The 23,150-nt window shown below is 43.6% G+C and overlaps 1 protein-coding gene across 5 annotated transcripts in view, besides 1 other annotated feature; it reads right to left on the bottom strand.

Moving 5' to 3' along the window:
• Positions 11,507-11,606: an enhancer, noted in NCBI's record as "active region_25918". NCBI's record gives its function as "activates an Ori minimal core promoter by ATAC-STARR-seq in GM12878 lymphoblastoid cells {active_cell/tissue: GM12878}" and the evidence as "EXISTENCE:reporter gene assay evidence [ECO:0000049][PMID:35858748]".
• BLVRA (biliverdin reductase A) overlaps positions 15,053-23,150 on the bottom strand; it is a 49,221-nt gene continuing 41,123 nt past the window's right edge. For all 5 annotated transcript variants that reach the window (XM_011515474.3, NM_001253823.2, NM_000712.4 and 2 more), the window contains 3 exons: positions 21,823-21,930; positions 18,548-18,719; positions 15,053-15,418 (listed from right to left, as the gene is read on the bottom strand). In XM_011515474.3, the coding sequence (XP_011513776.1) occupies positions 15,160-15,418; positions 18,548-18,719; positions 21,823-21,930 (539 nt within the window). In that variant the 3' untranslated portion in view covers positions 15,053-15,159. The remainder of the gene's footprint in view (positions 15,419-18,547; positions 18,720-21,822; positions 21,931-23,150) is intronic.

The following is a 23,150-nucleotide window of genomic DNA, read 5'->3' as shown; positions in this document are numbered from 1 at the left end:
TTCGGGATATAGCAGAGAGAGAGCTTGGCACGACTTACTACTCCAGGCTGTAGAATCCTGGAAAAGACCTACCGTGCAGCCCTCGCCCAGTCGACTGGAGGACCACCCTAGTGGAAAGGGGACAATCTGGGCCTCTGGCCTGCCATGTGCACAAGCATAACAATTGCTTTTGTTTAACGTGTGGATGGAATATTTGATCCATTCCAACCAGGCATTTGCATCTTGGTATTCTGTCTTAATTGCCAAAGTTTAAGTCTTTAACTTCTACAATAGCTATCTTGGTCTTGTCATTAGATGGAGGAGGAACAGTTGTTCCATTGCGAGACGTTTTGGAAAAAGGCTTAGAGGAAGGTGCAGGCAGCAGTGGATCAAAGAAATGCATTTCAAGGAATCCAATAGGGTCTGTCCCTGAAACCTCAGCCCCCATACCATAAAACCAGCTTAAAGAAGGAAACTGGCTTAGAAAAGGGGAAGAACTTCGAGGGTTTGAGATAATAACCTGTGTAGGATTGCACTGGTTTAGCTGACAGTTAGTGAAGGGCTGTCCCTCTGGTAAAATAAATGTATGGTTTTAGGAAATTACAAAAACCGGTTGGGGCAGTCCATTCTTGCTCTTTAGTGGTCCACAGAATGTAGGACCAACTACGGCATAAAAGCTCCACCTCGGATGGGGCAAGACTCCTGGCTGACACTGGGGTCTTTATTGAAATCTTCCCAGATTAAATGGTCCCAATTCACTAATGCCCAGTCTGAGGAGAGTCAGGAGGAACAAAGGTACTTTTCTGAAGTAGAGAGCTGTCTTTGACTTGGCAAGTCCCCACAGGGTATAACAAGGCAAGCATTAAATGCAATAGTTTGAGGCAAAATTGACTTGGTTATGTTAAAAACTAGATGTTCAGCAATAGAGTGAGGAAAGAAGAAAGAGTAATAGAATAGGTGAAAGAGGGTTAAATTTTCCTTGGCTTTAGTTGGTAGGGTTTTCCCCTAGGACTATGGCCCACAACTCTGGAGGGGGCAGCGCTTTCTTGACTCAGGTGTGATGAGTCCTTACCCTTTTTGCTGTACAAACAGCAGTCTCAATGGTTAGCAGCACAAGGTAGGGTCCTTCCCAGGCTCGCTCGAGTTTTCCTTCTTTCCACCCTTTGATGAGAAGGTGATCCTCAGGCGGGTGCTGGTTTACTGGAAATTCTAGGGGTGGACCTGTGCTAAAAGACTTAGTTTTGAGGGAAAGGAAAGTGGAAGATAAACCAAGTATATAATTTCTAAGAAATTGATCTTTTGTCTTAAATGTGGGGACATCAGCAGTGGACTTCATAGTCCTTGGTGCCTTCTTATTGAGAAATTTCCTTTAGCACCTATTTTTATTAGTTTTTAGACCAAAGAAAGCCAAACACCATTTCATATTTGACAATGCTTCCTGTATGATTTTATACCAGAAAAGCTAAATTTCACCTTGATATTAGTGTGTTATTAATGTTAAACTAAATTTTAATAAAACCTTGTAGACATATTTATCTAATTTTAATGTCTCACCATAAGGTAAGATTTTTATAGACTCTTTTTCACATTTTATAATTTTTGTTAAAGAGCAGGTTAGTGCTTTTAGAAAAACCTGTTGTGCTTTTATTTTAATGTCCAGTTCACAGAAAGATTGGATGATACCCCTTTTACTTTAGCCAGTATGTTTACACACAGAATTTCTTTTACAATTAACATTTTAAAGCTTGCTTAAGCCTTTAAAACAAATTTTTAAACCTTTTAATGTAGGTAAAAATCCACATTCTTATGCCTCCTTATAATCCTTTTACCAAAAGTGTATTTTACTTTCCTTGCACACCTTGCACATAAACTGTTTCTTCAATAGTTTTACATTCAGGAGGCCTAATTACTTGTACATTATACAATATCTCTTGCATAAATTCTCTTTTATAACTTTTTTTTTCATGACTTTCACAATCTTCAACATGCCTCAACTTTCTGACTTGTTGCAAACATCCCTTTCTTTAAACAACCAGTTAACTTATTTTAGGACAAGAATTTACCATGTAACATTCATTTTATATAAATTCTTCCCCCCCATCCCCTTTTTTTTCCATTCTTCTCCAAAGCGAACTTCCTTCATGTCTGTGGACTAGACTGCCTAAGGCCACGAGATTAGAAGTTAGGATAATACATGTTACACTGTTAACTTTTAGCAAATTTTACTTTTGTTGAAAACCTTGTAAGTTTGGGATTTCCATTATCCTTTGCTATTAATAAGACCTTGTTTAGTCCAAATTAACTTAGAATTGGTATAGATGGTTCCTTCCTGGTTCTCTAAGTACTTTAAGGCTTGGCTGAGTGCAAAGAGCTCACACGTTTGAGTAGACCAATTATTAGGCAATTTCCCTAACTCTGCTTCTACAAGAGTTTCCCTATTGTTATATATAAACTTTCGGTGCCGCAAAAGGAATAGCAATTGAATATAAAATTTTCTTTTTAATTCTCAGCAAGGCAAGTTACTTCTATAGCAGGCTGCGCCTTACAGATGGAGCAATGGTGAGCACACACCTGGCCAAGGGAGGGGAAGGGGTTTTTATCCCTGATGCACGTGGCCCCTGCTGCTGTGTCGTTCCCCTATTGGCTAGGGTTAGGCCACACAGGATAAACTAATTCCGACTGGCTAATTTAAAGAGAATGGCGGGGTGAGTGCTTTGGCGGGAGTCAGGGCAGAGCAGGTAGCAGGTAATCGGAATGAGTCAGGATTGAGAAGGTAATCAAAAATGTTGCTTTACAAGGAAGTTAAGTTTAAAAGTAGAAGGCAAAGAATTGAACATACTGACATATTCTTTCAAAAGAAATTTAGAACTCATATATAACAACCCCTTCCCTTGTATTTCTTTACAGCTTTCTTTTCAAAAGTTTTTTTAACATGTCCTGGCTTAGTTGTTTTGCTTGATTTTCCAAAAGAAGCAGCTTCTCTGGATAAGGTGGAGGATAGTGAAGGGAGGTTTTAGTAAGTGATATTTTTATGAGCCTCTGCACCAACCCAGGATGCATGGTATGACACGGCACCCAACAAGAATAAGTACACCTATTACGGCTGCGAGGGAAGTAAGAATTGAGGCTATTATTCCTTTCCATTTACTGAACTACTTTTCTAGCCATCCTGTAAAGGGGTCATTTACCCCTGAGTTGCTGGCTAACTCATTGGGCAGAGCAATCAGACCTTGCAATGCCTTTGTTATACTTCCATCAGGGGTGGTGTTGTTTGGGATGAAGGTACAACATTGAGTTTTAATGATGACACAAACCCCTCCTCTTTCTGCAAATATCATGTCTAAGGGTATCCTATTTTCCCAAGCCATCTGGCTGGTAGCCCGTAATTGTTCAGCTATTCCTTTAACAGCATCTCTACTGTAGTTAATAAATTGCTGTTGGTTGTAATAGATATAGTTTATCCAATCTACATTTTTATTAATTGTCACCTACCAAAAATATTGACTCAAATCCTGCAGCTATTTGATTTTGGGCTTTAAATTGATCTGGTATTCCCTGTGGGACTCTAATTGTGTCTAAATAGACATGAGAGTCAAAAGACCCGTAAAGGGTTTCTCTCGCTTTATGATGTCTTATTTTTCCTCCCTCTGGTTGATGAAATGCCAGGGTGAAAGGGATAGCCAACTGGACTAAAGCACAAGGGCCACTCCAGTTATTTGGCAGAGTGTCCAGTAAAGATCCACCACAATACCACCACACATCTGCTCGGGGATGAACAAAGACTGATTGATTGATAAACTCTTGAAAATTCTTAAGCTCACTGCATCCCTTCAGGTCTCCAAGGAACACTAAGTTTCCTCCCTTTCGTGAGAGACATGAAGTAAACTTAGTGTTGGGAGATGGAAGCTGAATGGCCCTTGGGGGCTGACCCGCAGGGTGCTGGACTAAGGGATATAGCAGAGAGACCGCTTGGCACGACTTGTTGCTCCAGGCTGTAGAATCCCGGAAAAAAGCTACCATGCAGCCCACACCTGGTCGACTGGAGGACCACCTTAGTGGAAAGGGGACAATCTGGGCCTCTGGCCTGCCATGTGCACAAGCATAACAATTGCTTTTGTTTAACATGTGGATGGAATATTTGATCCATTCCAACCAGGCATTTGCATCTTGGTATCCTGTCTTAATTGCCAAAGTTTGTTTTAAGTCTTTAACTTCTATGATCCTTTAGTAAAATGAATGTATGGCTTTAGGAAATTACAAAAACTGGTTGGGGCAGTCCATCCTTGCTCTTTTGTGGTCCACAGAACATTGGATCAACTATGGCGTAAAAGCTCTACATTGGGGGCAACAATCCTGGTTAACAATGGGGTCTTTATCAAAGTCTCCCTCGATTAAATGGTCCCAGTTCACTAATGCCCAGTCTGAGGAGAGTAAGGAGGGCCAGAGGTACTTTTCTGAAGTAGAGAGCTGTCTTTGACTTGGCAAGTCCCCACAGGGTATAACAAGGCAAGCATTAAATACAATAGTTTGAGGCAAAATTGACTTGGTTATGTTAATAACTAGATGGTCAGCAATAAAGCTAGGAAAGATGAAAGAGTAATAGAATAGATGAAAAGAATTAAATTTTTCTTTGCTTTAGTTTGGTAGGGTTTTCCCCAAGGACTATGGCCTATGACTCTGGAGGGGGTGGCACTTTCTTGACTCGGGTGTGATGAGTCCATCCTTTTTTCACTGTACGAATAGCAGTCTTGGTGGTTAGCAGCACAAGGTGGGGTCCTTCCCAGGCTGGCTGGAGTTTTCCTTCTTTCCACCCTTTGATGAGACCGTGATCTTCAGGCTGTTGCTGGTTTACCGGAAATTCTAGGGGTGGTACCTGTGCTAAAAGACTTTTAGTTTTGAGGGAAAGGAAAGTGGAAGATAAACCAAGTATATAATTTCTAAGAAATTGATCTTTTGTCTTAAATGTGGGGACATCAGCAGTGGGCTTTATAGTCCTTGGTGTCTTCTTACTGAGAAATTTCCTTTAGCACCTATTTTTATTAGTTTTTAGACCAAAGAAAGCCAAACACCATTTTATGTTTGACAGTGCTTCCTGTGTGATTTTATACCAGATAAGCTAAATTTCACCTTTATATTAGTGTGTTATTAATGTTAAATTTAGTTTTCATAAAACTTTGTAGACATATTTATTCAATTTTTAATGTCTGACCATAAGATTTTTATAAACTTTTTAACCTTTTATAATTTTTGTTAAAGAGCAGGTTAGTGCTTTTAGAAAAACCTGTTGTGCTTTTAAGGTCCAGTTCACAGAAAAACTGGATGATACCCCTTTAACTTTAGCCAGTATGTTTACACACAGAATTTCTTTTACAATTAACATTTCAAAAGTTGCTTAAACCCTTAAAAGAAAATATTTATTTATTTATTTAACCTTTTAATGTAGGTAAAAATCCACATTCTTATGCTTCCTTATAATCCTTTTACCAAAGGTATATTTTACTTTCCTTATACACCTTGCACATAAACTGTTTCTTCAATAGTTTTACATTCAGGAGGCCTAATTACTTTTAAATTATACAACACTCCTTGCATAAATTCCCTTTTATAACATTTTTTTTTTCCACGACTTTCACAGACAATTCTTCAACATGCCTCAACTTTCTGACTTGTTGCAAACATCCCTTTCTTTAAACAACCAGTTAATTTATTTTAGGACAAGAATTTATCATATAACATTCTTTGAACATAAATTATCCTCCCCCTCCCCCTGCTTATTTTTTTTTCAAAGATGACAACCATTCTTTTCCAAAGTGAACTTCTTTCATGTCTGTGGACTAGACTGCCTGAGGCCACAAGATTATAAGTTAGGATAGTACACTTACACTGTTAACTTTTAGCACATTTTACTTTTGTTAAAAACCTTGTAAGTTTGGGATTTCAATTATTCTTTGCTATTAATAAGACCTTGTTCAGTCCAAATTAACTTAGAATTGGTATAGATGGCTCCTTCCTGATTCTGTAAGTACTTTAAGTCTTGGCTGAGTGCAAACAGCTCACACGTTTGAGCAGACCAATTATTAGGCAATTTCCCTAACTCTGCTTTTACAAGAGTTTCCCTATCAATTACTGAATACCTATTGTGTCTTTTTCCCTCAATCACCTGGGAGGAACCACCTATCATCCTGTCCTGAAGGGAGTTCCTCCTAGGTCTGGTCAAGGCTTTGTATGGTCATTAAGATTTAGATCCCCTGTTAAGAAACTTGCTGGGTTAAGGGAATTATCAGTGGTTAATGTTAAATCATCTTTTTCTAACAGAATAGCCCCATATTTTAAGATTTTTGAGTTAGTAAGCTACCTTTGTTTTCTTTTTTTACTTAGGATAGTTCTGAACTGGTGAGGTGTGCTCACAACGAGGTTTCCTCTAAAAGCTATTTTTCTACTTTCTTCTCTTAGGAAAGCAATTGCCGCTACAGATTAAATGCATTTGAGCCACCCACTACTGAGTTAAGGATTTTTTATAGGAAAGCTATGGGTTGTCAGTGGCCTCAGTGCTTTTGAGCTATGCCCTTGTTTACACTGACAACAAGGTGGTATTGGAGTGTTATGGGGTCATGGAGAAGACCTTCAATTATCAATTATAGGTTTTAAATTTACCTGGCTTTTAAAGGAATAGGGTACACTGTTTTCTCTTTACTACTTCTCTCTCTCTCTCTGGCATTGTCTCTCTTTCTCTTTGACTCCCTCTTTGTCTGTGTCTCTTCCTGTCTCTCTCTGCCTTTCTTTCTCTCTCTCTGACTCCCTCTTTGCCTGTCTCTTCCTCTCTCTCTGCCTCTCTTTGCCCTCTCTCTCCACCCCCCCCCCACCTTTCCTCTCTGCTGTTCTTTCCCTGCCTCTGCCAGCCACTTACACTGCTGTTCTCTCCTCTCCTTCCCCTTCCCCTGGGGAGGGACCGGCAGGAGCGGAGCTACTCTTTCTTCCCCTGAAAAGAGGATGCCCAAGATGGACATTAACTCGACACAAGTGTACAACTGAGGTTCTAAGAATTGGTCAATATGGTCTGCCACTCTGTAAGGGTCATCTAGTAGCAGTTTAAGCTCCTTTTTAAAATTCTGGACTTCTGAACTGGTTAAGGGAGCATTTACAAAGCCAATGGCCCCCCCTCCTTGTGGTAACTCTTTCAAAGGAAAGAGCGTCGGGGCTGACCCCTTAGGTACAGAGGGAAATGGGAAATTCTGAATATCCTTTTTTACATTGTTCTATCTCACGCTGGAGTCCTTTTAGAGAGGGGTATTTAGGCTGAGAGGGAACAGGCTGTTGGGATGGTAATTCCCAAGAGTCAGGGTTATAAGGAGGAGGGATAATGTGAGTAGAGAAGGACTTTGGAACGGGATCTGAGGCAGCACTGGCTGTCTGAGGGGAAAGACTGGGGACACTGAACAGGGGAAGATAGTCTAGGGGATTCCATGTGCTGGAATTTTTAGGCATGAGAACTAGCTCCTCTGACTTTTCATTTTGAGGTGCCAGATTGGGTTCTTCCCTATTTGTTTTTAAGGGAAAAAGGAGGGCAAGTCCTTGCCTCCAACGAAGGGCATAGCCTAGTCCTTCTTGAGACACTGGACCTTTAACATATCCGATTAGAAGCTGACACATTACATCCTCATTCGACACAAACTTTGGCCAGAAGATTGAGGGTTTGAGGATGGGTCCCTGAGTCCAAATAAAACAGAAATATTTTATCATTTGTTGCTTTTTCCTATGTTTAGTCCTTTCATTATCCTTCCAGTTTTAGCATGAGACCTAGGGGGCTATCCGGGGGGATATCTTTGTTACCATCTTATTCCCCTTGCTCCCTGTCTTGCTTGGGGTATTTCCCATCTTGTTGGTTTTGGGGTAAGGTTCAAGGTTCAATTTCCCTTACTGGAAATTTCTTTGTTTTTTTGGGGTGAGGCTTGATTTCCCCACTGGAAATTTCTTGCCTTATGGGGTGAGGCTCGATCTCCCCACTATAAATTTCTTGCCTTATGGGGTGAAGCTCAATTTCCCCACTGGAAATTTCTTGCCTTTTGGGGTGAGGCTCAATTTCCCCACTGGAAATTTCTTGCCTTTAGGGGTGAGGCTCAATTTCCCCACTGAAAATTTCTTGCCTTTTGGGGTGGGGCTCAATTTCCCCACTGGAAATTTCTTGCCTTTTGGGGTGAGACTCAATTTCCCCATCGGAAGTTTCTTGCCTTTTAGGGTGAGGCTCAATTTCCCCCACTGGAAATTTCTTGCCTTTTCTACTACTGGAGGTTTATGTGAGGTTCAATCCCCCCCAGTGGGGATGTCTTGCCTCTTTTTAACCTCTAAGCCACCCCGACCAAGGAGTACTTCACCACACCCCACCCCCACGGCTTTTTTACCTTGGTTCTGACCCAGGAAATACTTTACTGGCTCCCATGGCTTCTCCTTCCTTGGTCTGTGCACAGAGTCATCACCGCAGTATGTGAGGATCCTTTAAGCTAGGTTGCTGGCCAGTTTTTTTTTCTTTTTTCCATGTTGCTGAGAGCTCAGGCTATTCCTTGCATTGGGTGGGTCTTGATTTCTCACTCCTGAGGCCACCAAAGGGGACAGGGTGCACCTCCTCACGAGAGAGAACCAGAGACCACCCCCGGAGGGGAATGTAATCAAGGGCAAGTCTCCAAATTGTTATATATAAAGATTCGGTGCTGCAAAAGAAATAGCACTCGAATATAAAATTTTCTTTTTAATTCTCAGCAAGGCAATATACTTCTATAGAAGGGTGCGCTCTTACAGATGGAGCAATGGTGAGCGCACACCTGGACAAGGGAGGGGAATGGGTTCTTATCCCTGATGCACATGGCCCCTGCTGCTTGCTGTGTTGTTCCCCTATTGGCTAGGGTTAGAAGCACAGGCTAAACTAATTCCGATTGGCTAAAGAGAATGATGAGGTGAGTGCTTTGGTGGGAATCAGGGCAGAGCAGATAGCAGGTAATCGGAATGAGTTAGGGTGGAGCAGGTGATTGGATTGAGTCAGGGTGGAGTAGGTTAATTGGAAAAGGTTGCTTTATGAGGAAGTTTAAAAGTAGAAGGTAAAGAATTGAACATACTGACATATTAATTCTTTGAAAAGAAATTTAGAACTCATATCCAACTCTATCAGTTACTGAATACCCATTGTGTCTTTTTCTCTCAAACACCCAGGAGGAACCATCTATCATCCTGTCCTGAAGGGAGTTCCTCCTAGGTCTGGTCAGACCTTTTTATAGTAATTAATTGAGATTTAGATACCCTGTTAGGAAATCTGCTGGGTTAAGGGAATTTTCAGTAGTTAATGTTGAATCATTTTTTTTTAACCGAATAGCCTCATACTTTCTTCTGTTAGCAAAGCAGTTGTTGCTACAGATTGAATGTATTTGGGCCATCCATGGGTTACGGATTTTTGATTAGGAAGGCTATGGATTATCAGTGGCCTCAGTGCTCTTGGGCTACGCCCTTGTTTACACTGACAGAAAGGTGGTATTGGAGTGTTACAGGGTCACAGAGAAGACCTTCAATTATCAATTATAGGTTTTAAATTTACCCTGGCTTTTAAAGAAATAATGTACACTGTTTTCTCTTTACTACTTCTATCTCTCTCTTTCTCTCTTTAACTTTGTGTTTCTCTCTGACTCCCTCTCTGTCTCTTCCTCTCTCTCTGCCTTTCTCTTTCTCTTTGACTCCCTCTTTGTCTCTTCCTCTCTCTCTCTCTGCCTCCTCTCTCTCTCTCTCTTTCCCCAAAACATAAGTTTTGTCTTTTGTTTCTGTTTTTCTTTGTCCCTTTTCAAGTATACTTTCTGAGCTTCCCTGAGAAACTCACTTAGGAGACAGTCTTCCCAATTGTCTGTCTTTTGTAACTTTTTTGAAATGTCTGGCCAACTTTTAGTGACAAATTGGAGTTTCAACATTCCTTGCCCAAGGGGATCATCCAAATCGAGGCCTGCATATTACCTCATTTGCTCCCTCAGTCTGTCTAGGAATCTCATAGGCCCTTCATCCTTTTCCTGTTGTATATCAAATGCTTTAGAAAGATTTGGGGTTCAGGGTACTGATTCCCAAATCCCTGTTATTATCATCTCCCTTAGGTCCTGCATATTTTCGCAGTGGTCTGCGTTGTTATTGTCCCACCAGGGGTTTCGAGCGGAGAATTTCTGGTCCATGGTAGGAACATTTTCAACGGGAGTGTGCTTATGTTCCCAAACTACCATAGCAGCCCTACGAATTATACTCCTTTCTTCCCCTGAAAAGAGGATGCCCAAGATGGACATTAACTCGACCCAAGTATACAACTGAGGTTCTAAGAATTGGTCAATATGGTCTGCCACTCTGTAAGGGTCATCTAGTAGCGGTTTAAGCTCCTTTTAAAAATTCCGGACTTCTGAACTGGTCAAGGGAGCATTTACAAAGCAAGTGCCCCCCTCCCCCACCCCTCCTTGTGGGACCTCTTTCAAAGGGAAGAGGGTCGGGGCTGAACCCTTAGATACGGAGGGAAATGGGAAATTCTGAATATCCTTTTTTACACTGTTCTACCTCACGCTGGAGTCCTTTTAGAGAGGGGTATTTAGGTTGGGAGGGAACAGGCGGGTGGGATGGTAATTCCTAAGAGTCAGGGTTTTAAGGAGGAGGGATAACGAGAGTAGAGGTGGGGATTTGGAACAGGATCTGAGGCAGCAGTGGCTGTCTGAGGGGAAAGATTGGGGACACTGAACGGGGAAAGATAGTCTAGGGGATCCCATGTGCTGGAATTTTTAGGCATGAGAACTGGCTCCTCTGACTTTTCATTTTGAGGTGCCAGATTGGGTTCTTCCCTATCTGTTTTTAAGGGAAAAAGGAGAGTAGGTCCTTGCCTCTAGCAAAGGGCATAGCCTAATTCTTGAGACACTGGACCTTTATCATTAACACGTCGGATTAGAAGCTGACACATTACATCCTTATTCGACATAAACTTTGGCCAGAAGATCAAGGATTTGAGGATGGGTCCCTGAGTCCAAATAAAACAGAAATATTTTATCATTTGTTGCTTTTTCCTATGTTTAGTCCTTTCATTATCCTTCCAGTATTTTAACATGAGACCTAGGGGGCCATCCAGGATGATATCTTTGTTACCATCTTTATTTATCTTGCTCCCTGTCTTGCTTGGGGTATTTCCCATCTTGATGGTTTTGGGTTAAGGTTCAAGGTTCAATTTCCCTTACTGGAAATTTCTTGCCTTTTGGGGTGAGGCTCAATTTCCCCCACTGGAAATTTCTTGCCTTTTGGGGTGAGGCTCAATTTCCCCACTGGAAATCTCTTGCCTTTTGGGGTGAGCTCAATTTCCCCCCTGGAAATTTCTTGCCTTTTCTACTACTGGAGGTTTGTGTGATGTCTTGCCTCTTTTTAACCTCTATGCTACCCCAACCAAGGAGTACTTCATTGCCCCCCCGCGGCTTTCTTACCTTGGTCCTGACCACCAAGGATATACTTTACCGGCTCCCGTGGTGTCTTTTCCTCCGTCCGTGCACAGACTTGCATGGCCGTTAGGGAGGCCATTATGGAGGATCCAGCTAGGTTGCTGGCCAGTTTCTTTTTGCTTTGCTGAGAGCTCGGGTTATTCCTTGCACTGGGTGGGTCCTAATTTCTCACCCCTGAGGCTGCCACAAGGGGGCGGGGCGCGCCTCCTCATGAGAGAGGACTTGAGACTACCCCTGGAGGGGAATGTAATCACAGGCGAGCCCCCAAGTTGTTTTAAGTAAAGTTTCGGTGCCGCAAAAGAAATAGCACTTGAATATAAAATTTTCTTTTTAATTCTCAGCAAGTCAATGTACTTCTACAGAAGGGTGCGCCCTTACAGATGGAGCAATGGTTGAGTGCACACCTGGACAAGGGAGGGGAAAGGGTTCTTATCCCTGATGCACATGGCCCCTGCTGCTGTGTCATTCCCCTATTGGCTAGGGTTAGACCACACAGGCCAAACTAACTCCAACTGGCTAATTTAAAGAGAGTGACAGGGTGAGTGGTTTGGCGGGAAAAATGGTTATGGCAGAGCAGGAAATCGGAATGAGTCAGGATGGAGCAGGTAATCGAAAAAGGTTGCTTTATGAGGAAGTTAAGTTTACAAGTAGAAGGCAAAGAATTGAACATACTGACATACTGATTCTTTAAAGAGAAATTTAGAACTCATATCTAACACACTGATGGCTATAGCATATCCTCTGTCCTTTTTCCTATCTATTGGAGGAGGAGACTTAGGTGAGACCTCCGTTTCCTGTTATTTTGACCCAGTGATATTGGGACTGAGGGAAGAGGAGGTGATAAGGCAGGTGACATTTTCTCCTCCTTCCTCTTTTTAGGCTCTTCTGTGTGTAACTGAGCCAGGGCTGCTCTAATTAAAGCCCATAACATTAAAGATTTTACTGGGACCTGATGCCTTTGCACCTGATGTTGTTTAAGATTTCTCCCCACTTGTTCCCAGAGTTCTACATCTAGTGTTCTTTCCTCTGGGAACCATGGGCTTTGTACTCCATTATTGACCACACTAGTTTTTAATTCCTTCAACAACTGAAATTCTAGTGGGGTGTGTTCATGAATAAACTGCTGTGGATTATTGGGATCAGGCCTTATGGAAACAGGAACAGCGCAAGGTCCTAAGGGCTCTCCAGCTATGACAGCAGAGCGTAAAATTCTTTGTATTGGGGTTTCTATTTGTGCTACTGAAGGAGGCAGTACAGATGTTTCTGCAATTGGAGGAGGCGGTATAGGCCAATTTTTATCCTCTCTGTTTTTTATTTTCAATTGGAGCTGTGGGTGGGACAACATATTCTTTCAGATTTTTAGATTCAGGCTGTTGTCCCACAGAATAATAAGGAGATAATGGTAGAAGTACAGTACAAACTAAACTCCAAGTGGAGAAAACAGAAGAATCAACTAAGAATCAGCTAAGACCTTTTTGATGAGCCTGTTTTAATCCTTCTCCTGCTTTGTCTCAATTTTCCATATCAAGGATGCCTGCCTGTGGGAACCATGGGTTATGCGTAATAACCTTTTGTGGCTTCTGCAGGAGGTTAGTGTCTGCGAATTAACCTAAGCTCCAGACTGTCTCTACAGAACTTTAAGCAACTGCACATAATGTTTTTCTTCAATAGACAAATTCTTCCCCTTGTTAGCCTGATTCAGAAAACTTCCTGTTCCTAGTACTTCTTTAAAGCACTGCTCCCAGTACCTCTTTACGGCACTGATCAGTACCTCTTTAGGGCACTGACCTTATCTCTGCTGCTGGCAGACTCGTTTCGGGGTCCCCATTCGCCTTGTCAATTTCAGTTCCTCTGCTCCAGCGGACTTTCTTCATTCATGTCCTCGAAGTCCTGTGTTCGGATGCCACTATGCAGAGCACCCGATCCTGTTGCTGTTTGGGGTGCCACTTGTAACCTGCATGGACCTCGGGGGACTGAACAAAGGGGGGCGAATGTGGGAATAAAAGACAAGACACAAAAGAGTATATTTGGAAGAAGAGGTCAAGGGGCATCTTGCCTCTAGTGGACAAGGGCCGTGAGCTTTACACAGCCCTCTGTATTTATTAGGTGAAAGAGACAGCAAGAAAGTGGGAGGATGGTTGTCGGGTAATTGTCAGTCAGCCGTTTGGTTCACAGCGGGCTTGTGAACAATAGGCGCTAGATTTCTCAATAGATAACTTCCAGGAGCCCGGCGCCAGGGCATGATGTCCCTCAGCAAACATTTTGGTGGCAAGGCAGTGTGAGTTTGCCCACATCCTGCATTCATGATAAACAGTTCGCTGTTTGATCATATAGCCTCCAGCGGAATGCTGAGTTGGTCACGTCCCGCGGGCCTTTGGCTCCCTGCAGGGTAACTCTGTCTTAGGATAACTCTTAGGCTCCACCTTAGGGTAACTCTGTCTTAGGCTCTTAAACTCTTAGGGTAACTCTTAGGCTCTGTCTTAGGGTAACTGTCTTAGGCTCTGTCTTAGGGTAACTGCCCTGTCTTAGGGTAACTCAATTCTTCATCACAGCTGCAGGTCACCTACTTGCAGAGGAAGAGTCTGCTTTAGTCACCTGCCACGTGGACAAGCTTGGGTGCATCCTAAGGATGTCGGTTCAGAGGGAGAAGGTGGCTGGGTGTCATGTGTTTAGTCCCTTTTCCAGCTTCACCAGACAGGCAGGTCACTGCTGCCACAGGGAGAGGGGCTGAGGGGCAAAGGGCACCTCTGTGGTCACTCTTGCCTGGAGACACAAGGCCCTCCTGAAGGACCCCTCAACACTTAGGAGCATTAGTACAGCGGGATTAAGGGCTTTTTTTTTCTTCAAATTGGACAGAGGGACAGACTGCTGAGGAATACATGTGGATTCTTTCCTTCTGTGACACTCTGAAAGAATTGTGACTGGGGCATGGGGTGCCACCTTCAGAGGCAGGAGTGTTTAGGAAATGCCACAGTGGCACATGACCTGCGTGGGCTCCAGCAGCAGCAGCAACCTGCAGGGTAGATAGGGCAGCTGAGAACACGAGAGCAGAAGGGCGGTGACTCTATCATCTCGGAGGGTTCTGTTCAAACAACATTTTCTAGTATACAATGAAAAGAGACCTGGTGCCAGGCATGGTGGCTCATGCCTCTAATCCCAGCACTTTGGGAGGCCGAGGCAGGTGGATTACCTGAGGTTGGGAGTTCGAGCGAGACCAGGCTGGCTAACGTGGCGAAACCTCATCTCTACTAAAACTACAAAAATTAGCCAGGATTAGGCACGCGCCTGTAATCCTCAGCTCCTTGGGAGACTGAGGCAGGATAACTGATTGAACCCAGGAGGTGGAAGCTGCAGTGAACCGAGATGGTGCCACTACACTCCATCCTGGGTGACACAGTGAGACTCTCAAAAAAAAAAAAAAAAAAAAAAGAGGCCTGCTAGTACTCATCTCATAGGGCTGTTAGGAGGAGTAAGTGAAATCAGACATACAAAGCATTTAGCTCAGCTCAACCAACGCTCATTCTCGCCTTGTCCCCACTGCATAGCCCCTAACCCCAAATATCCCAACATAGCTCATAACAATAAGATTCTTGTTTCCCCAACATGTTTAATTTTAAGAATAGAGATAATGGTCAACTCTTGAGAAGAACCAAATGCTGGTGCCATCTTGGAAGTGCTACATCACCTCCTCCTCTTACTTCCTTGAACAGCAATATTTCTGGATTTCTTCTGCAAGCCCCAGGCAGTGCAGGATGCGTTTCTTTTCAGCAGCCAGTTCCTTCTCAGAGAACTGGCCCAAGAGTTTCTGGACAAATATATTTTGATCTTTCAGAAATATGTTCTTATTCACTCCTACATTTGGCACATTCTCCAAGGACCCAGACTTGAAATGGAAGCTTAAATATCTGTTTCGTTTTAGACCAGGTCCTTTTTCTTCAATCCATGACAGTGGACTGCAAAGACAAAAGACAAAAGAATCATGTTAGAGATTACACAAGAGCACAAGTGGGTGCTTGCTGGCACCAGACCGCCTGGTAACATGTCCTTGTCAGGCACCCATCCTCCTTGCAGCCACCAGCCTCCCAGAGGCTGTGGGTGACTGTGTCAACCTCACAGCCAAACAGTCTTTAATTTAATTTTGCCATCAGGCAGGGGAATTCATTCAGTGACTTTTTTTTTTCTGGGATGGAGCCTTGCTCTGTCACCCAGGCTGGAGTGCAGTGGTGCAATCTCGACCCACTGCAACCTCTGCCTTCTGGGTTCAAGCAATTTTCCTGCCTCAGCCTCCCAAGTAGCTGGGATTACAGGCGCCTGCCACCATGCCTGGCTACTTTTTAAAAAAATATTTTTAGTAGAAATGGGGTTTTGCCATGTCAGCCAGGCTAGTCTTGAATTCCTGACCTCAAGAGACCCACCTGCCTTGGCCTCCCAAACTGCTGGGATTACAGGCGTGAGCCACTGCACCTGGCCTCCCATGACTAGTTTTAAAAGCTCATAGTACAGTCTAGCAAATGTTCTGGGAGATGGCAACAAAGATTAACTTTTATTTTGGCACTGAATAAAAATAAACTTGAGGTATTCTACGTAGTCTGCCTAAGAAAATTTCTCATGTCTTTTTTTTGAGATGTTTGCTCTTGTTGCCCAGGCTGGAGTGCAGTGGTGCAATCTCGGCTCACTGCAACCTCTGCCTCCAGGTTCAAACGATTCTCCTGCCTCAGGCTCCCCAGTACCTGGGATTACAGGCACCTGCCACCACGCCTGGCTAATTTTTGTATTTTTAGTAGAGACAAGGTTTCACCATGTTGGCCAAGCTGGTCTTGAACTCTCAACTTCAGGTGATCCAACTGCCTTAGCCTCCCAAAGTGCTGGGATTACAGGCGTGAGCCATTGTGCCCGGCCTCTCATGTCCTTTTAAATAATATGGAATCTTGGGATTTGAGGGAATGCAGAATGTCAAGATCTTTCTTGTACCTCAATTTCCTCACTAGTAAAAATAAGTAATGGTAATAAGTATACAGCTTTACCTATCTTGCTGTGACATTGTGAGATAAAAATGCAGTTTGTGGCCAGGCGTGGAGGCTGATGTGGGTGGATCGCTTGAGCCCAGGAATTTGAGACCGGCCTAGACAGTATAGCAAAAACCCATCTTACCCAAAAATACGAAAATCAGCCAGTCTCATAACCCGGTCTCAAAATAAATAAATAAATAGATAAAAAAATTTAAAAATGCAATTTGGGACACGGAAAGTACTATGATTTTAAGAAGTTACTATTATATTATATTAACTGCTCTCTGTCCCAATCCCTCATCTGATGCTTGCCTCTCCTGTGCAAAAATGAGAGCCAGGGCTGGGTGCAGTGGCTCATGCGTGTAATCTCAGCATTTTGAGAGGCCAAGGTGAGCAGATCACTTGAGGTCAGGAGTTCAAGACCATCCTGACCAACATGGTGAAACCTTGTCTCTACTAACAATACAAAAATGAGCCGGGCGTGGTGGCAGGCGCCTATAATCCCAGCTACTCGGGAGGCTGAGGCAGGACAATCACTTGAACCCGGGAGATGGAGGTTGCAGTGAGCTGAGATCACACCACCGCACTCCAGCCTGGGTGACAGAGCAAGACTTTGTCTCATAAAAAAAAAAAAAAAAGAGAGAGAGAGTCAGCCTCTGCCTCCCCAACATCTTGCTTCCTCATTGACTTCTACTCAACTTCAAGACCAAACAAGGCACCGCCTCCCATCAGAACCATGAGCTGACCTAGTCCAGGTTCCCCTTCCCTGTGCTCCTACAGCACCCTACAGTATCTTTACCTCTAATTACAGGGTGCTACAACTGTCTGTGTATAGGTCTGACCACGGCTGCAATCCTAACACTCACATGGCCACACCAGAGCCCGGGCCACCACTGTTGGTCACTCCATAGGGAGCACTGCCAAGTTCCATGTGCTTTGCTTTCATCTGCCAGGCCTCTCTGCCTTTTCCTAGCGAAGAAGAAACTCCTCAAAATGGACTAGATCAGGCTTCATTCAGGAACTCAAATTCTTTTTTCTTTTTAAAATACCCAGTGTCTGCTTCTTTTACTACCAGGAGACCCACCTCTCTGCAAAGGCATCCAGAAACACTCTAAAACCCTTACTGTTCTAAATAATTTACAGAGCCCAGGTGCTTTGGGAGGAAAATTATGAATGTGCTTTTGTTAAAAAAGACCTGGTATGAGAAATAAGTCAGAATGTTTTGGGAACAGTGTGACAGGGTGATGGGATGCTAAAGCTGAAACACAGACCCTCACACTCTGGCTGCACTGAGGGGTGAATGTGTGGCCCTGCGGGGAACATGTACAGTGTTAATGGCAGGGTCTAGGGAGTAGGTGGATGGGTGTTTACTTAAAAATTCTTTCAACTTCACAATATGCCCGAAAACTTTCATAAGAAAACACAGGAAAAAAATCAGGTCACAGAGTTAACATAATTTCTTTTTCTTTTCTTTTTTTTCAAGAAGGAGTCTCGCTCTGTTGCCCAGGCTGAAATGCAGTGGCCTGATCTCAGCTCACTGCAACCTCTGCCTCCCAGGTTCAAGCAATTCTCCTGCCTCAGCCTGCCAAGGAGCTGGGACTGCAGGCATGCACCGCCACACCGGCTAATTTTTGCATTTTTAGTAGAGACAGGGTTTCACCATGTTAGCCAGGCTGGTCTCAAACTCCTGACCTCAGGTGATCCACCACCCTTGGCCTCCCCAAGTGCTGGGATTATAGGCCTGAGCCACCACGCCCAGCCAAGGTAATGTAATTTCCACTACTAATCTGCTATGAATGACTTGCATGACTTAGGCAACCTGCTGGCATTCTGTAAGCCTCTGTCTACTGACTGGCAGATGGGATTATGTTTGTCTTCTTTACCTCACAGGGCTGCTGAGAGGATGAGATGAGGCAACACAAGTGCAATCTCAGCACTCCATCTGCAGAAGCAGACAGCCCTTCTGGAGCTGGGAGTGAGGGTCTAGCCCCTCGGGGCTCCCTTTGGATCATACCTGCAAATGTACTAGGATGTCCTTAAATTTCCTCCTCCTCATGGCTTCTCATGACTTACCTTTTCTTCTCTGTCTCCAGACACACTGTCATTTTCATATACTGATCTTCCTTTCGCTCTTCCAAAGTGGCAGACACAAGAGAAAGCTCCCCAAAGAGGGAGACCAGCCAGGTCAGGCGAGAGATGCCGCTGAATGCAGGGAAGCCAAACCGCTCTTCTTCCAACGGGCCAGCTGTGGGAAATCACAAATGCTGTGGGAACTGGGAAGCAGGAATGCCAAGTGGAAAGCAGGACAGGGGGGTGGGGGTGGCGGGGGTGTGAAAAGATGTGGCCGAGTGATCAGTACAATGGGACCTTGCCTTATGTGGTAGGCAGGCAACGTGATTAATGATACTGATGAAAACTCAGGTGGCTGAACTTCAACTCTATCATAAAAGCATCTCTGTCTTTTCCTGTTTATTAAATTGAGTTTTAGTAAAACATTCTACTGGAAACAGCAGTCAATCCAGCCAAACAGGATAATAAAAAAGTTTCAGGCTTCTAATATATACATCTATGTACACATATGTAGATATACATACACACACACACACACACAACACATACCTACATATACATATATATATATCCTCTTTAGTGATTTAAAGTAGTCTGGTAAAAGTAGAAGAATCAAAGTATTTTAGCCCTGCAAGCCTGTATTCTTATAACTACCTGATGTGTAAGTGGCAATAAGGTATGAAGGTATTATAATAGCTATGGAGAAAATGGTAATACCTTTGAGCTATTTCAATATCAAGAAAATTGATACAATGTTAAATGTTTTCTTAGTCTTCCTAATCTTGTGAACAAAAAAGTACACTCAAAAGAGTATTGGGGCCAGGCGTGGTGGCTCACGCCTGTAGTCCCAGCACTTTGGGAGGCCAAGGTGGGTGGATCACTTGAGTTCGAGACTAGCCTGGCCAACATGGCAAAACCCCGTCTCTAGTAAAAAAAAATACAAAAATTACCCGGGCATAGTGACGGGTGCCTGTAACCCCAGCTACTTGGGAGGCTGAGGCAGGAGAATCACTTTAGCCCGGGAGGCAGAGGTTGCAGTAAGCCTAAAAAGGCCACGTACAGTAGCTCATGCCTATAATACCAGCACTTCGGGAGGCCAAGGCTGGCAGACTGCTTGCGCCCAGGAGTTCAAGACCAGCCTAGGCAACATAGCAAGACTCTGTCTCTACAAAAAAACACACAAAATTAGGCGGGTGTCGTGGTGCACACCTGCAGCCCCAGCTACTCAGGAAGCTAAGGTGGGAGGATCATCTGGGCCTGAGGAGTTCGAGGTTACAGTGAGCCATAATTGTACCACTGCATTCCAGCCTGGGTGACAGAGTGATACCCTATATCAAAAAAATATATATATATAAACATAAAAAAGAGTATTGGTGTGAGAAATCCATTTGGTCAAGATACTGCTCCCGTCTGCCTCCAGCCAAAATCTTAAACATAACCTAAGTTTAAAAGACTTCATATCTGTTACATTACATTATAAACAAAACATTTCTTATGACCTTGATATTCACTTAAAACAATGACTAATAACAATGAGTATATTCTTAAAAAGTAATAAGTTATATATAAAACCAAACAAAAATTAGAATTTTCATAGACAATATGGTTTGAAATCACTGGGGCCTAAGTATCAAACTTACAAAACAAAAAGACTTCCCCAGGGCTGGTTACTGTCTGCTCTAGTTCTTTTTTGTTTGTTTGTTTGTTTGTTTTTGAGACAGAGTCTCGTTGTCACCTAGGCTGTGCAGTGGTGCGATCTCGGCTCACTACAACCTCTGCCTCCTGGGTTAAAGCGATTTTCTTGCCTCAGCCTTTCAAGTAGCTGAAATTACAGGTGCGTGCCACCATGCCCGACTAATTTTTGTATTTTTTTTTTTTAGTAGAGACGGTGTTTCACCATGTTGGCCAGACTGGTCTCAAACTCCTGACCTCAGGTGATCCACCAGCCTCAGCTTCCCCAAGTGCTGGAATTACAGGCGTGAGCCACTATGCCCAGCCTAGTTCTTTGGACAGAATACTAAGCAGCCACCCACAACAGTTCCAGCCACTTAGAGAGCTGAGCTCCAATCCAGCTCTGTCTCATGACCGCTACGTTACCTCTGTGAAGCCACTCATGCCTCTGAACTTCAGTTTATCTGTATAATGGGGGTAGTGAATACCACTTTATAGGATTGTCATATGGATTAATGCACATCACAGTTACTTGTACTTAACTTACTTAACTTAACACAGTTTCTTGTACAAATTAATGGTTTGTACTCTCATTATATTACCATTTTCAAGGATGAAGACAGATTTTGAAATGAGGTTCTACTATGTATCAGTGGCTTTACCGTGCAAAAATGCCAGGCCATGTCAGGGTCTCCTTTCTGTAATGAAAGCCCTCAGGAATGGTGGCCCAGGTGCCCAACGATACGGCCAGAGAAGGAGCCCATCCAAAAGTGGCCACAAGAGCAGGAGCTTCCTGCATGCCCATTTCCTATTGCTAACGGAGCTGCTCAAAGAGTGACCAACATCAAGTAAACAGCTACAAATACAGATCAGATACTGTGGTCAGCTGGGCACGGTGGCTCATGCCTGTAATCCCAGCACTTTGGAGGCCAAGACAGGTGGATCACTTGAGCCCAGGAGTTTGAGATGAGGCTGGGCAACATAGGGAGACACTGTTTACACAAATTTTAAAATTAGCTGGGTATTGTGGCGCACATCTGTGTTTCCAGCTACTTGGAAGGCTGAGGTGGGAGGACTGCTTGAGCCTGGGAGGTTGAGGCTACAGTGAGCTATGATTGCACCACTGCACTCCAGCCTGGGCAACAGAGTAAGACCTGGGCAACAGAGTAAGAACAGAATAAGTAAATATTTATTATTTATTATAAATAAATAAATAAATACTGTGGTTGCTGCCAATGTCCTTGTAACTTGCTAGAGGAGGAAGGGAGCTCTTCATATTATATTTGCTTTGCAAGGAAGTATAAAAATGTTCTCCTCTCCAAGCACCTCTCATCCTTTTAAAAGAGTTTTAATGTACAACTTCCTGTTGAAAAATAATCTCCAACTAGTTAATAGGTTGGGACAGAGCACAAATATGCTTGAGATTTCTAACATACTCTTTACCCAAGGGCCACCAAGGAATTAAATCCCATCTGGGAAAATTAAGTGGCCCTGAGTCAGAGAGTCTTGAGCAGAAATGAATATAAGCTCCCATCCCAGAGAGCCAGGAAAGAATCTGGCTGGTCTTTGGACCTCACATGTGACCTGTGATCCCACGTAGCACTGACCTGTGAAGAGGAGCGACCCTTTCAGCAGGTCTTTCCCCACCACTTCTTTTTTCAGGAAAGCGAATTCCTCCATCAAGAGTTCAACATGCTCCTCGTGCAAGACTTTTCCTGTAACGACAAAAATGGAATAAAAAGGGCAGTCGTCAGTTGTGTCTAGGTGTGCATCCCAGAGGGTACTCTGTCATCCCCTAACACAAGACATGAAGCACTCATAACTGCCCTGGGCACATGGCCAGGATGGCCTCCCTACCACTGTCACCCACCCCAGCTGAAGAGGCTGCTACTTCTAAGCTTACAACAGAAATGAATGAAATGAAGGCCAGGCATGGTGGCTCATGCCTGTAATCCCAGCACTTTGGAAGGCCGAGGCTGGCAGATCACCTGAGGTCAGGAGTTCCAGACCAGCCTGGCCAACATGGTGAAACCCCACCTCTACTAAAAATACAAAAATTACCCAGGTGTGGTGGTGGGCACCTGTAAGCCCACCTTCTTGGGAGGCTGAGGCAGGAGAATCACTAGAACCTGGGAGGCAGAAATTGCAGTGGGCCAAGATTGCATCACTGCACTCCAGCCTGGGCGACAGAGTGAGACTCCGTTTCAAAAAGAAAAAGAAAAAAAGAGAAATGAATGAAACGAAAACCTGAGAAATGAAATGAAAATTTAAGAGAACAAGATGGTATCTACCTGTGTCCAAAGGCAAGATGAGATCAGGGATGTGTCTGTGGGCCAGGAGACAGTTAGCTACTGTTCTAGACAGGAGGAGGCAGTGCAGCATAAAAATCTAACAGAGTAAGAACGTGCCCAGGCTTGGTGGCTCATGCCTATAATCCCAGCACTTTGGGAGGCCAAGGCAAGTGGATTGCCTAAGCTCAGGAGTTTGAGACCAGCCTGGGCAACATGGCAAAACCTGGCCTCTACAAAAAATACAAAAAATTAGCTAGGTGTGGTGGCATGCACCTGTGGTCCCAGCTACTTGGGAGGCTGAGCTGGGAAGATCACTTGAACCTGGGAGGTGGAGGTTGCAGTTAGCCAAGATCGTACCAGTGCACTGCAGCCCATCTCAAAAAATAAAAATAAAAATAAAATAAAATAAATTTTGGATTATAAAAGAAAGCTGTTAACAATTTTTTTGCTATATAAAATTTTTTCGCTCTATAAAAATTTTTTCATTTCTAGGCCAAAAGCTTCCTAAAACACCAGAACTATTTTGTGATTAAGTACAAAGTGTGGTTATGATCTACAGTTTCACTGAAACAGACAGAAATCTGGGTCAGTGGGAGATGCTCCTGGGACGGTTGCCTTTGTCTAACCCAGCATCACAGCAAATA

Source organism: Homo sapiens, chromosome 7, assembly GCF_000001405.40.
Source record: "Homo sapiens chromosome 7, GRCh38.p14 Primary Assembly".
Lineage (NCBI taxonomy): Eukaryota > Metazoa > Chordata > Mammalia > Primates > Hominidae > Homo > Homo sapiens.
Note: the sequence above shows the minus strand (reverse complement) of the source record. Positions and strands in the feature narration are given on the sequence as shown.